Source organism: Homo sapiens, chromosome 16 (assembly GCF_000001405.40).
Source record: "Homo sapiens chromosome 16, GRCh38.p14 Primary Assembly".
Taxonomy (NCBI): domain Eukaryota; kingdom Metazoa; phylum Chordata; class Mammalia; order Primates; family Hominidae; genus Homo; species Homo sapiens.
Window position 1 is genome coordinate 16,871,947 of NC_000016.10, and position 14,688 is coordinate 16,886,634.

A 14,688-nucleotide genomic window follows, 5' to 3' on the forward strand; every position below is an offset into this window, starting at 1 on the left:
CAAAGTGAGGTCTTACAGTATGTTGTCTGCAAGCTGAGGAGCAAGGAAGCCAGTCTTGAGTCCCAAAGCTGAAGGACGTGGAGTCTGATGTTCAAGGGCAGGAAACATCCAGCTCGGGAGAAAGATGGAGGCCAGAAGACTAAACCCGTCTATTCTCTCCATGTTCTGCCTGCTTTTATTCTGGCCACACTCACAGCTGATTAGATGGTGCCCATCCAGATTGAGGGTGGGTCTGCCTCTCCCAGTCCACTGACTCAAATGTTAATCTCCTTTGGCAACACCCTCACAGACACATCCAGGAACAGTACTTCGCATCCTTCAATCCAATCAAGTTGACACTCAATATTAACCATCATAGCTGGGTTCTGTCAGTTGCTCTCCCAGGACTTTCCAGGGAATACAGATTAGTAGAGATAGAAGAAGATAAGGAAAGACTATTGCATGGAAGAGTTGCCTTAGTGATGATGAAATTGGAGGGAAATATGTAATGCTGCTGTGTTGGAATCTTCCCCATGAAGAATGCTTTCCCACCTTGGATCTACAGAGATGTCTTTTGTAATAGGGTTTGGCAGAAAAAGCAACAGACTAGGAGTCAGGCGGTCTCTGCTTTGCTATTTACATCCACCTAATTCGTAGAACCCAGACCCAACCTGCAAACTACTAAGTCCTGGCAAAACCGCAGCCATTAGCATGGGATCCACATTCCCAGTGCATGTTTAGATGGCCTTCTCTTCACCCTCTCTGATTCCTGGTTAATGTTTTCTTTGCCACCCTGACTTATGAGTATCAGGACTCATGAGCAGCAAGAAATAGAAAACCCAGCTCAGACTGACTCAGGCCAAAAAGGGTATCCGTTGGCTTATCTAATTGTAGGCATTGCTGGGTATAAGGACTCCTTTGATTTGATTGGGACTCAGTTTCTTGCCATCTCTCAGTTCTGAGTTCCTTTTCCTTGACTCCACTTTTTAGCAGGGTCTTTCCTCCTGATGATGAAATAGTTGCCAGAGATGCTAAGCTTATATCCTCTAAAGCTTCAACTTCAGTAAAACAGAGAGCCAACTTCTGTTTCAGCAATGTCAGTAGTGTGTGTCACTAGCTTTGGAAGGGTGATTCTCCTGATTTGGGACTAGATCAAATGTTCCCCCCAGCGAGGTGTGGTGGCTCATGCCTGTAAACCCAGCACTTTTGGAGGCCGAGGCAGACAGGTCACTTGAGGTCAGGAGTTTGAGACCAGCCTGGCCAACATGGTGATAACCTATCTCTACTAAAAATACAAAAATTAGCCGGGCATAGTGGTGGGCACCTGTAATTCCAGGTACTTGGGAGGCTGAGGCAGGAGAATCGCTTGAACTTGGGAGGAGGATGTTTCAGTGAGCTGAGATCACGCCACTGTACTCCAGTCTGGGTGACACGGCGAGACTCTGTCTCCAAAAAAAAGTACCCCCGCCCCACCTCTGCAGGAGAGGAAGCCCCACTCGAATCACTTGGGTTAAAAGTAGGGGAAGGGTTAATCTCAGGTGAAAAGGAGGTAGTACTGTTGCAAGAAGAGGGACTGGATAGATGTGGGTGACCCAACCATAACTACCTACTCTCCCTCAGCTCCCAAAACATAGCTCAAGCGTTCCTCAGTAGCAGGAATTTTACAAAACACTGCTGCAAGTTCCAATAAGAGGTATGTTGCAAATACCTAAAATTAGCTGGAATTTGTAACGAGTTTTTATTTTTAAAAATAAGTTAGAGTGGATTCAGAGTTATCCTGGTAAAGCTTTCAGTGATGGATATGTGAGCATTTTAATACGGTTGGCTCTATTTGTGTAAAACTTTGAAAATTTTCACAACAAAAAAGGTATCCCCTAAAGAATATCAATTTTACTCATTTGTTTTCCAAAACACTTTTTTTTATATGGGAGGTAGGTTGTCAGAGAAGGGGTGCTCAGGCCTGCTTGTTAGACTAGAGAAGGCTTCCTGGCCAAGTGACAGCTCAGGATGTGGGAAGTAGTAACAGCCAAGTGAGTGCATTTTTTTTTTAAGAGATGGGATCTCACTCTGTCACCCAGGCTGGAGTGCAGTGGCACAATCACAGCTTACTGCAGCCTTGACTTCCTAGGGTCAAGCCATCTTCCCACCTCAGCCATTCTAGTAGCTGGGACTATAGGCACACCACACCACCTGGCTAATTTTTTATTTTTTGTAGAGATGGGGTCTTGCTATGTTGTCCAGGCTGGTCTTGAGACCAGAACTCCTGACCTCAGGTGATCCTCCCACCTCTGCCTCCCAAAGTTCTAGGATTATAATTATGAGCCACCACACCTGACCTGCATTTTGAATACAATATGAGAAGGGCTTTGTAAACTGTAAAGTGCCATAAAAGTATTGTAAGTATGTGGTGGAAGAATATTTTTGAAATATTAACATGATTTTCCCCTCAGCTTTTTTTCCCATTCTTACTGCCTTTGTTTTCTCCTCACTCAGCTAAGCCAATCTATATTCATTCTATCAGGAGGAAGACTATGACAGCAGGAGAAAGAACAAAGAATCTTCTAAGGGGCACAGAAAAGAGAGAGTTATTAAGTCTTCCCCACCACCAGACTAGTAAAAAGATTCCCTAGACTGGGAGAACAGAGAGAGCCAGAAGTTCTATGCCTGAAGCTTTCCAATGACAAAATAAGAATTCCCCATGGCAGGTGAATGGGTAAATGATGGAAGTGTCCTATGCATGAATTATTATGTAGCCTTTAAAACGAATGCATTAAATCTATGCCAGTTCATTTGGAGGGGGCTTCTGGTTTACAACACCAGCGAGATGTAGACAAAGATGCTACAAAATTCCTTTTTGTAGAACAAATGATGCCCAGCCCCCATTATTAACATAGACATTTGCATGTTTGCATACAGTTGCATGAGCATGGGCAAAAAGTATGAAAAGATACACTTTGCTTCCTAACACTATTTACCTGGGGAGAGAAAATAAGTGGGAGGAATAGAAACTTAAAAAGTATGCACAATAAAAAAGCATTTGTGGCAATTCCATTTATGTGATATTCATATGTATACATACGTGTGTGAATGCGTATGTGTGTATGAAAAGATTACCACCAACTCAAATGGTACAGATATGTATGAAGAAACTCAAGATAAATAATAGTAACATTTTGATTATTGAGTTTCCTTATAGTTATCTAAATTGTTCAAATTATTTTCTCAAGCTTCATGTATTTTCCCACTTTTAAGCAGGCAATAACAGAAACTATCTTAAAGATAACACATTTAAATTTACTGACACACAGTAGGCACCTAATAAATAGTTTAAAGAAAATAAGTATAATTCTCAAAATTCAATAAAGATCTTGTCATTGTGGAGACAAAAAGAACCACGCTTGGAGAGAAGCCAGAGATAGCTGAGAAGATGCTCACTCTGTCTTCTCCTTGAAAGAAAAGCCAACACAGATTTAAGAGGTCCAAAAATGATAGAGAGGAAGAGAGAGAGAGAGAAAGATTTTCAACCTGCTGCTTTTCAACCAAAACATTGCAGCAAGGGCTGCAAGCCACATACGTGGAATATACTGAGAATTTAGCATCTGATCATGAGCAAACTCAGAGACATGGATGGTCCTTCCTGCTACTTCTTTGAGTTTGCAGGGCTTGGAGGCTGTAGCAGTGAGTGGTGCTGCTGTCCTAATGTCCTGACTATACCGGGAGCCACTCTTCGATCATTCTTCTGTCCATTCAGATGAGTAGAGATGGGCTGCATGAACGGTTTTATCCCCAGGATCAAGTGGAGCATCTGGCATGGAACAGCCAGCCACTCAGTAAGTGCTGGGTGAATGCATAAATAAGTAAGGGAATGAGTAAATGAAGGGTTGAGTATGTGAGTGAGTGAGTGAATGGGTGAGACAATGGATGAATGAATAAATTTGCACCCCAGAAGAAGCTCTGACACAGCTTTGAATTACTCCTCCAGATGCGAGGGGCTTTGTGGAGAGCTGTCCATCATCCTTGCCTGCCCAAGGACAATGACTTCTCAGCTTTCACCATGCATCCTGCAGCCATGGAGGGAAGCAAAATTAACTGGTCTCCATCAGCCTCCCCATCAAACATTTGCTGAGCACCCATCATGTGCAAAATATTGACTAGGAACTGTGGGAGATGGGAAGAATTCTGGAAACTCCTAACTCTCAAGGAATTTGCAGGGTTATCAGACAGTTGCCACACAAAGACATAAAAACATCCCCTGCTAAAATAAAGACCACGCCAGATATGTGCTGTAGGTATTCACCCCTGCAGGAACTCTGGGGAAAATGGGGCAGGAGGAGTCACCCTTGGATGTCACAAATGGCTCTCCAAAGGAAATAGAACAACATCGCAGCATGAATTCTGAAGCCGGCCCACCTGCCTGCCTTGAATTACAGCTTCCACCAGCTGTCTGGCCTTGGACAAACTACTTAACTCTCCACATCTGTCAAATGGGGATAATAATATAACAATCCCCCAATATTGTGAGGATGAAATAAGCTAATACTTAGGAAAAGCTTGGAACAGTGCTTGGCACGTCTTAAGTGTGATATGTGTGAGCTCCTTCCTTGATTCTCATTCTGACTTGAAGAGGATTTTTAGAGGGGAGACCCAGGGAACAGTGGGGCAGCCTAGACGGGTGGAAAGTGTTATGCTGGAGGCTTAACCTAACCTGGTTCAAAACCTGGTTCTGCTATTTCTACCAGTGTGACCTTGACTTAAACTCTCCAAAGCTCAGTTCCTCACTTATAAAATGGTAATAACAAAACCAATTTCATTGAAAACGTATGCTAACGATGCCATGATAAATAATAGTTATTATTAAAGAGAAACACAGTAAAGAAGTTCCCAGAGGGAGGTGAATAAATTAAGCATGATGACGTGCCTTGCTACTTCCCCATCTTTCTCTTCTTCCCCCAGATTTGTTCAAGGTCTCATCATTACTGGTTTGCATTTCTATTTTAATCATGTTATAGGTTTACAGTATTTTTCCCCCTGCATCTTTATATGCTATAATTTGGGTACTATTTTTACACAACGAAGCCATTTTTAACCGAGAACAGATTCAATTGTCTTTCAGCATATATCATTGTTTATCTTAATTAATGCTAAAATATTCTTAGGGGGAAAAACACATCCCACAGAGTATTATGCGAAGAAACTTAGCATTCATTTTTGCCTCCCTCTTTTCTGGCATATCAATTTATAAAGGTTTTAGCATCCTGTTATTTCAATGACAATAATGCATGCTCTTAAACGCAGACACCCATCTGTGGGAAGCAAGTCACAGGGTGTCAACAGCAGCAAGGTGTGTGTTGCAGTGGAGGTGGAGGATTGACAGCTGGAAGAAGAAGGGGATTTTGCTGGTGAGAATAATGCCAAGTGAAGTCATAGGCTTTGTCTCTGATTGATCCATGGAAACATTCCTTGAGTAGAGCTGAATCTAGCTAGATTCCATGCTTGGAGTCTTTCTTAGTAAGGCTACTACTATAAGCACAGATGATGGAAAATGGATGATGTTTTTATTCATCATCCATTCTCTTTCCTTCAAATAAGATGCCCCATGCACCTCTGAGGGAATGACCCTTTACACACTCAACCTAAGTTTTTTGCCTCTCCCTCCAGCTCTAGGGTGGGCATGTGATATAGAACTGACCAATCAATATCTATTATCTTTCTGGCCACAGTGATTGGGCAAGGGATAGCCATGTGACCCAATCAGAGCCAAGAGACTCAGTTTTGAGGCTTTAGATAGAACCACTGGGAAAGAGGGTTCTCTTTCTACTGGGATGCTGACCTGGCAGGAATATTACCCAGAGCTGCCTGTGACCATCTTTACTATGAAAAGGGGAGAGCTTGCCAAAGAATGAAGCTGTATTATAGTCTGTTCTCATGCTGCTAATAAAGACATACCTGAGATGGGGTAATTTATAAAGGAAAGAGGTTTAATGGACTCAAAGTTCCACATGTCTGGGGAGGCCTCACAATCATGGCAGAAGGCAAACGAGGAGCAAAGTCACGTCGTACATGGTGGAAGGCAGGAGAGCGTGTGCAGGGAAACTCCCCTTCATAAAACTATCAGATCTCGTGAGACTTACGAGAACAACACAGGAAAGACCCGCCCCCATGATTCATTTACCTCCCACTGGGTCCCTCCCATGACACATGGGAATTAAGGGAGCTACAATTCGAGATGAGATTTAGGTGGGGACACAGCCAAACCATATCAGAAGCCAATATGAAAGAAAACAGAACTGAGAGATGGAGGCAGACTCTTGATGACAACTCCTGGACCCTGGATCAATTTTTGTTTAAAGCCAGTCTGCACTCTGCATCTTTGATGTAAACCAATGTATTTCCTTTATTTGTTTGTTTAAACTAAATTAAGTCATTTGTAATTTAAAGAGTTCAGAGAGGTGCCGTGTTTCAGTAGGGAACTGTAAAAAGCCAGGATATTCTGTAAATTAGAAGGGAATAATGTGGTGTTGACCACATCTGGGAGAATGTGCATCTGAGGGTGTCTTGCATGCCAAACTCACTTGTCTTCCTAATCAAGCAATAGTTTGGTAACTGAGAAGTTCCAAGTAGCCTTTAAGTCACACAATCATACTAGAGGAACTCCTAAGAACCTGGGTGACATTGTGATATAAAATGTGGAACTTCACTAGGTTATGCAAGAACCTCTGAAAAGGGTTGATAGGAAGGGTGTACGTTAGGTGTGTAAAGAACTAGGTGTGGGGGAACTAACTAGTACAAAAGGGATCTGGTGAATTTGGATTCTACCCTACTCGAGATGATGTTGGAGGGCTCTGATCAAAGTAGGGGTTTGGGGGCAGAATTATGACAAGTATCTATAGGAAGTCACTATCTTTTATTAAAAATTTGTTGTGAACCTGTCCTCACTCATAGTTGGGAATTGAACAATGAGAACACATGGACACAGGAAGGGGAACATCACACTCTGGGGACTGTTGTGGGGAGGGGGGAGGGATAGCATTAGGAGATATACCTAATGCTAAATGACGAGTTAATGGGTGCAGCACACCAGCATGGCACATGTATACATATGTAACTAACCTGCACATTTGTGCACATGTACCCTAAAACTTAAAGTATAACAAAAAATTTGTTGTGAACCAGATACTGTACTAAATGACTTACCTACACTGTTGTATTTAATTCTCTCAACAACCTGATGAGTTCTGTATCTTATTATATCCATTTTACATGTAAGGGAGCTGAGGCTTAGAAAGCTGGAGTGACTTGGTCTGCCATGGCTAGGATTTCAGCTCATGTCTGTATGACTCGAAAGCATCTAGTGGGTGGTAACATTGGTTTGTAGACTTGAAACAACTTTGGCTAATGACTGGGGCACATGGAAGAGGGGACAGAGTCCAGCTTCCAAAGTTAGAAGGCTACCAAAACTAAGGTTTTGGTCAGAGATTCAACATTCCAGGGGCAGACCCTGATCCCAATGGGAGAGTAGATTTGATAGGGAAACTGAGGCAGGATCCTGGGACTGGAGCCAACACAGGGAGCATTAGTTGGGAGGGTTGTTGTGACCAGTCAACATACTTCTGGGGGCTTGTGGCAAAGAACAAACACAGAACTCCAAATGAATTCCCTGCCAGAGCTTGTTCAGAGTTGGCTTGGGATAGGAGAATCTGAGGGGAGTATGAGGCTGACAGAGAAAAAAGAGAGTCTTGTGGAATCCTAAGATTTAAAAAGAGAGGAAGAAAAGATGCCTTTTATTTATTAAACAGTGATTACGAAATACCTAACACATGGCCACGATTAGACTAGGCTCTTCCCATACATGAAGCTCAGAGAGGTCAAGTGAGTTGTTCAGGGTAACACAGGAGCTGTGCCTGGGTATGAAGCTGTATCTGCTCAAACATAAAGGTCTTTTCATGGTGCCAGAGTCTACATTTCCCAGAGTACTAAGATAGTGACTTGATCATCAGCACTAAATATGTGTCGTAAAGATAGCTCACATTTACAGATATTATAGCTACTCTGTGCCCTGCAAGGTGCTAACGACTTTACTTGGATTATCTCAACTTATCCCCCAGACAACCTATGACGTTTAGCCAGGCATCATCATCATCATCATCATCATCATATCATCGTTATCCTCATCCTCATCCTCATCATTGTTCTTGAATGATGAAAATTGGAGCTCAGAAACTCAACCTGTGTCAAGATTACAAAGCTAGCAATTCTGGGTCAGAACCTGAACCCAGGCAGCCCGCACTTTCGATGTGCCCAAGCTTATATCTCCACCTACAACTCTGCCTCAGTTTCTCCCTCTGTAAAATGAAGACAGTAATAAGGCACCTCACAAGGTTATTGTGAGAACAAAATGAACCGCTGCATACTAGGAGCTTAACAGACTGGCAAAGAAAACTCCATCAATGTTGGCTTTCATCGGGGCTATTTTAATTTTTGCATCACCCTCTTCAAAAGGGCACTTCTCGCTTTCCCACGGCTAAGCTGCCACACTCAAGTGTGCTGGAAAAAAAGGCTGGGTAGCTCACAACGTGCGGGGGCATCTTAGTGTAATCCTGGGGTGAGAGATAAAAGAAGCTCGCTTGACATAACTTCATAAACCCATTTTAATCTAAACATTGATTTTCCTTTGGAACAATCCCTTTCCCCTTGCTCACAGTCCCACCACGCCTCTAATACAGACGTGGGTATTGATAACATTATTGAGATAAAACAGTCGCCTCTTTCTTATTCCCTTTATTCATCAGTCACCCCAGGCCTGTCTTTGTCTTTTTTCATCCTCTGCTACCCAGCATTATTCATTGGAGTGCCTTCTTTTCCCTCACCCTCCATAACTCAAGGTGAAAGTTTTCAGTAATGACAAGTAGTAAAATATGAGAGATTTAAGCAAATTCAACTGGAAATAATGTGAAAAAATATTATTCGCTCCGGACACATGCTTCTCTTTTGATCTTCCTTGTCCAAGATACATTTTAAAAAAAATACTCCTTTGATAACAAGAAGTGAGCAGGGGCTAAAAGGAAACCTTATGTCTTTGTTGGGAAATAATTAGTCTGATCGAATCGCTTGCTTTCTGATGGACAAAGGAGTCTTTAAAGAAAATCATTTGTGTTCTCTGGGCCCCTTCAGGCAGCACAGCTTTCCGAGGCTTGGGCTTTTAGATGAGAGTTTGGGGAATGGAAAATTTCCCTGAATAAGAAATCAGAGAGCTTGACCTACACAGTTACCTCTCTCTTAACATGACAACAATTGGCAATTACTTTTTGATCCAAAGTGTGAGGATGAATATGGAAAGGAAGGGCGAATCATTCTCCTTCTTCTCAAGCTCATTCTCTCTTTAGACCTGCACCTGAAGCTGATTTTCTTTTCTTTTTTTTTTTTTTCCAGTCCCAGCAATTCAATATAATCTATAGCTGGAAATACCTATGTTAGCTGCAGCTGGGGGAAAAAGCAGTTGGCAAATTCATGAATCAGGGCTTCTTTTCTTTTTCGCTTGTGAAAGGTAACTTCCGACAGCTTAAGGGTGATTTGGAATGAAGCGTGGGTTGGTTCCTAGTGTCAGCACATTGCCTAGTTGTTCCAGCCAGGCTGGCTGTAATGAAGCGTGGACATCCATACATAGTTTCAGTGTCAGGGACACCGGTGACTCTAATGAAGAGAGGACCTTAACTTTGATGCAGAATCATGATTGTTTATAGCTGTGTGGTGAAGAATGGGCTCTGAAATCCATCGCACTTCGGTGAAAATGCTGTTTGGTCTGCAATGTGAAGCTGATAGCTTAATTTCTCTGATACTCAGTGTCTTTACCTGTAAAATGGTGCCAATATCAAAGTAGCTGTCTGGTATAGCAGGGTTTCTTAATCTTGGCATTATCAACATTTGGGGCCAGGACATTCTTCATGGTGAGGGGCTGCCCTGGGCATTGTAGGGTGTTTAGCAGCATCGTTAGCTTCTACCCACTAGATGCCAGTAGCACTCTCCCCCCACCCCATTATGACAACAAAAATCGTCTCCAGACACTGCCAGTGTCCCCTGGGAGGCGCAATCCCTCCTCCCTCCCCTCACCGAAAGCCGCTGCCATGGAGCTATTGTGAGAATGAAATGAAATAATCCATACAATGCTCTCAGCACTGTTTAGTAGACAGTACATAGTAAATGCTCAATACGAATTAGTTGTTACTCAGACACCAAGAGGGTAACAACAGGCGCACAGACACTGGGGCCTATTTGAGGGTGGAGGATGAGAGGAGGGAGAGGAGCAGAAAAAATAACTATTGGGTACTAGGCTTAGTACCTGGGTGATGAAATCACAAACCCTAGTGGCACAAGTTTACCTATAGAACCAACCTGCACATGTACATCTGAATCTAAAATAAAAGTTTGAAAAATGAATAAATAACTATTACTTGTTACTGTATTAATAAAACTGTCAATAGAAACTCAACACAATCATTTTTTTTCTCTTGAAGAATCTTATAGAATCTCTGGATCTTTAGTGTCCCAATTTCCCTGATATTGGCTAGGAAACCTCAGTTGCCCCACCTGCCACTTGTCAAATGTTTTGTTTTTGGCAAAACCATCCAGTGCTAGGAGCAGGCAAGTCAATTTCCAAGTGGTTCTGTGAATGAAGGGTGTCCTCTCACTTTAGTCCCAGGGAAATAGCTAATGCACCTGGGTTTAATACCTAGGTGATGAGTTGATAGGTGCAGCAAACCACACAGGCACACTTCTACCTATGTAACAAACATACACATCCTGCACATGTACCCCAGAACTTAAAAAAAAAGTTCAGAAAGGATCAGGAAAGGAGAGATCATATCCATAGCAGTAGGGACAGCAACACTGAGGATCTGAGTAATTAGAAGTCAACCAAAGCTTCCTCATCCTTTGGGGAGAAAGCAGGATGCCCAGAAGAGGTAACCGCAGTTGCTCCCTGGGGCCTGGAGGTCTTGTGTGCATGCTGGAGTGGGAACAGGGAAAGGGGCAGGTGGCGAAGAGCAACAGATGCAATCAACTTTCTCCATCTATGCTTTAGTTCTAGCGACTTCTACCACTTGATGGACTGCACCTAATAGTAACCACTGTTTGAACTCTATCATGGCCTGAGTTGTGTCTCCTCAAAATTCAAATGTTGAAGCCCTATTTGGAGATAGGAACCTTAAGAAGGCAATTAAGGTGAGGCCCTAATCCAATAGAGCTGATGCCCTTGTAAGAAGAGAAAGGCACCAGCACTCTGTTTTTCTCCTTATGCAGAGGAAAGGCTGTGTGAGGATGGAACAAGAAAGCAGCCATCTGCAAGCCAGGAAGAGTGATCTCACCAGAAGTTGAATTTGCTGGCACCTTGATCTTGAACTTCTAGCCACCATAACTGGAGAAAACAAATGTCTGTTGTTTAAGGCCCATCCTGTGGTATTTTGCTATAGAGATCTGAGCAGACCAATATAAGTGCTTACCAGGTGCTCGGCGTGGTCACTCATTTCGTTCTCATAATGACACTTTGAGGTAGGTTTTACAGAAGAGGAAACAAGCTCAGAAAGGTTAAAAACATGTCCAGCGTCCACACAAATAGGAAATGTACTGCTGGGCCTGTCCATCTTCAAAAAAATGAGGTCCTTAACCACCATCTCAATGTGGGCTGTCTCTATCCCCACATCACCATTTCTAGAATGTTGACATTGTACAAGTCTCTATGTCAGGGATTTAAATAAATTAGCTCTTGCACTTTGGGAGACCAAGATGGGAGGATCACTTGAGACCAAGAGTTTGAGACCAGCCTTTCCAATATGGTGAAACCTCGTCTCTACTAAAAATACAAGAATTAGCCAGGCATGGTGATGCACACCTGTAGTCCCAGCTACTCAGGAGGCTGAGGCAGGAGAATTGCTTGAACCCAGAAGGCGGAGGGTGCAGTGAGCTGAGATCTCATTGCTGCACTCCAGCCTGGGCAACAGAGCTAGATTCCATCTCAACACCCCCATCCCCACCCCCCGAAGAAAAGTACATCAGCTCTTTTAAATCTCTGGGTGGGGAACTCTTGCTGTGAGAAATGAGCTGATATTTGGTCTTTAGATATCACAGAAACAGCTACTGAATTTTACTGTCTACAATTTTAATCCAACCAAGGATTCTGAGGGTGCATGGGGGTGAGGGCTCAGAAAGAGAAGAGCCCATTCAACTCCAGGTCACTCCAGGTGAGTTCACTCCAGGTCAAGAGTCAGCCAATGCTATTAGTGGCTGCAATTTGCTTTTCAGGGATCTGCTTTTATGCAAATGAAAGCAAGAGGTCTCCAACTAAGGAAGGGGAATGAACATCCCTCCTCTGCCCTACAATTCTAGTCCAAGATGTCTTTCTCCAGCTGGGGGCTTAGCAACAAATTGTATCTTCCTCCTTCGTTTCCTTCCAAGGACAATGAATAATCATAATTCAAAGTAGAGCAAAGAGCCTGCATTTACACAGTGCACATTTCCAATGTTTTTTGAGATTACCTGATTTTACCTTCAAGTCATCATGGGAGGCAAGTGCTTTCTGACAGATGAAGTCAAGACATAGAAGTGAGGACTCTTGACCTCAACCCACTGCATTTTTCCCAGGTGGTGCCATTTGGCTGGCAGTAATGCTGTAGCCACTTGGCATCCATCACAGGTAAGGGCAGCAGAATTAGAGGCAGACAGACCTAGGTTTGAATCCTGCCTCTGACCCGAACCATCTGTCTGACATTGGACACATTAACTTATCTCTTTGAAAATGGTGTAGAGAAAATGAAGATGGAGATCATAATGATCTGCAGGGGTCAACCCCATACAATTTGAGGGGATCTATGGAAAGCACAGTGCTTGGCATATATATGATCAATGCTTAGCAGCTGTCTTTGCTGTTCCCAATGGACAAGAACTTTCTAGAATGTATAAGGTCTGTGCCTAAGCACTTTCTTTCACGATCCTTGTCCATGTCATGGGGTCCTCTGAAGGACCTTAGAGGTCATTCTTAGTTTGGCTGGGGCTTCCCTTGGGTAGGAAAGATAACGTAGTTCTGAACCAGGCAGTATTTAATGAGTGTTCACTCAGTTCTTGGCCAACTACTCTAATGACCAAGAGTCCACAGAATCTGTTGTTTATGAACGCCAGCCTTGAAGTCAGATCAAGTCCCAGCTCAGCACCTACTAGCATGTGTCCCATTGGACAGTTGTGAGAATTCAATGGGATAAGGCATGTGATATGCTCAGCACACTGGCACACAGTATGATGGAGCTGACACAATCTTCCCACCAGCCCCTTTCTCCCCATTTCCTCCCAGTGCAGATGGACGTAAGGAGCTCTGCAAGTTGGTTAAGTTTCCCTTTTACTTCTCTCATTCCTTCACTGGAGGATGGCTAAGGTTGCAGTGAGCTGAGATCGCGCCACTGCACTCCAGCCTGGGTGAAAAAAAGATATTGGGTTTGATTAGGGGCTACACAAGGGAGAGAATGCAGTGGTGGTGGGCTGTGCAGGAAAACCTCAACTGCTTGCAAACAGCATGTAGTTTTAGCTGGGCATGATGGCTCACGCCTGTAATCCCAGCACTCTGGAAGGCCAAGGTAGGTGGATCACCTGAGGTCATGAGTTTGAGACCAGCCTGACAAACATGGTGAAACCCTGTCTCCATTAAAAATACAAAAATTAGCCGGGTGTGGGGGCACATGCCTGTAATCCCAGCTACTTGGATAGTTTTCCTGGAATGACCCACGTTGGTTCCTGTGCTCAATGATTCTTTTCCAATAAGGCAATATTCATCTCGCCTTATTGGAAAGGGATTTTCCATCTAGTTGGAAGAATCTCTCCTCCGTAGCTACAGCCCTGATGGATAGAAGCAGATTTAGATTTTCTTTTGACTTTTGAACCATTTAATGATAACTAGGCCCTTAGACCTCCCTCCCCACAACCCCGTTACAGTAATGCCCATGGCATAAACATGGAATGTGGTGTCCAGGAAACTCGGATTCTAACCTCAATTTTTATTTTTCTAATGGGGCTGAAAGGCAAGGCAATGTCTAAAATTTATCGCAGTTTGGATATTCTGCGTTTTTGTCATTCCCTTGATAACCAACGCAGAAGTCGATCAGTCCTAAGAACTAAGATGATGAAGCACTCACACTACATCTTATATTTCATCCTCTTTCCTGTCTGCTTAGCGTAAGCTCTGCTTCTCATCAGGAAGATTTGTGACAAGTAGTGGTAAATTATTCCCAAAGCTCGCTTGACCCACGGCTAACAACATCCTTCACAGTGGGTGTTGTGCTAAACCCCTATTAACCTCATTAGGGAGGCACCAGGTTCAAGAGGCTGAAGAAGAGACCCGGAGCCAGTAAATAAGACATGGGGTAGCTGGCTGCGGTGGCTCACGCCTGTAATCCCAGCACTTTGGGAAGCTGAGGCGGGTGGATCACCTGAGGTCAGGAGTTCGAGACCAGCCTGGACAACGTGGTGAAACATTGTCTCTACTAAAAATACAAAAATTAGTCCAGTGTGGTGGCGCATGCTTATAATCCCAGCCACTCGGGAGGCTGAGGCAGGAGAATCACTTGAACCCGGGAGGTGGAGGTTGCAGTGAGCTGAGATCACGCCACTGCACTCCAGCCTGGGTGACAGAGTGAGACTCAGTCTTACAAAAAAAAAAAAAAAGAAAAGAAA

At 43.5% G+C, this 14,688-nt stretch overlaps 1 long non-coding RNA gene across 1 annotated transcript; it reads left to right on the forward strand.

Moving 5' to 3' along the window:
• Positions 1-443: 443 nt before the first annotated feature.
• LOC124903653 (uncharacterized) lies at positions 444-4,898 on the forward strand. The gene is made up of 2 exons (XR_007065007.1): positions 444-3,809; positions 3,962-4,898. It is a non-coding gene; the product is annotated as an uncharacterized LOC124903653 (long non-coding RNA).
• The last annotated feature ends 9,790 nt before the right edge of the window (positions 4,899-14,688 follow it).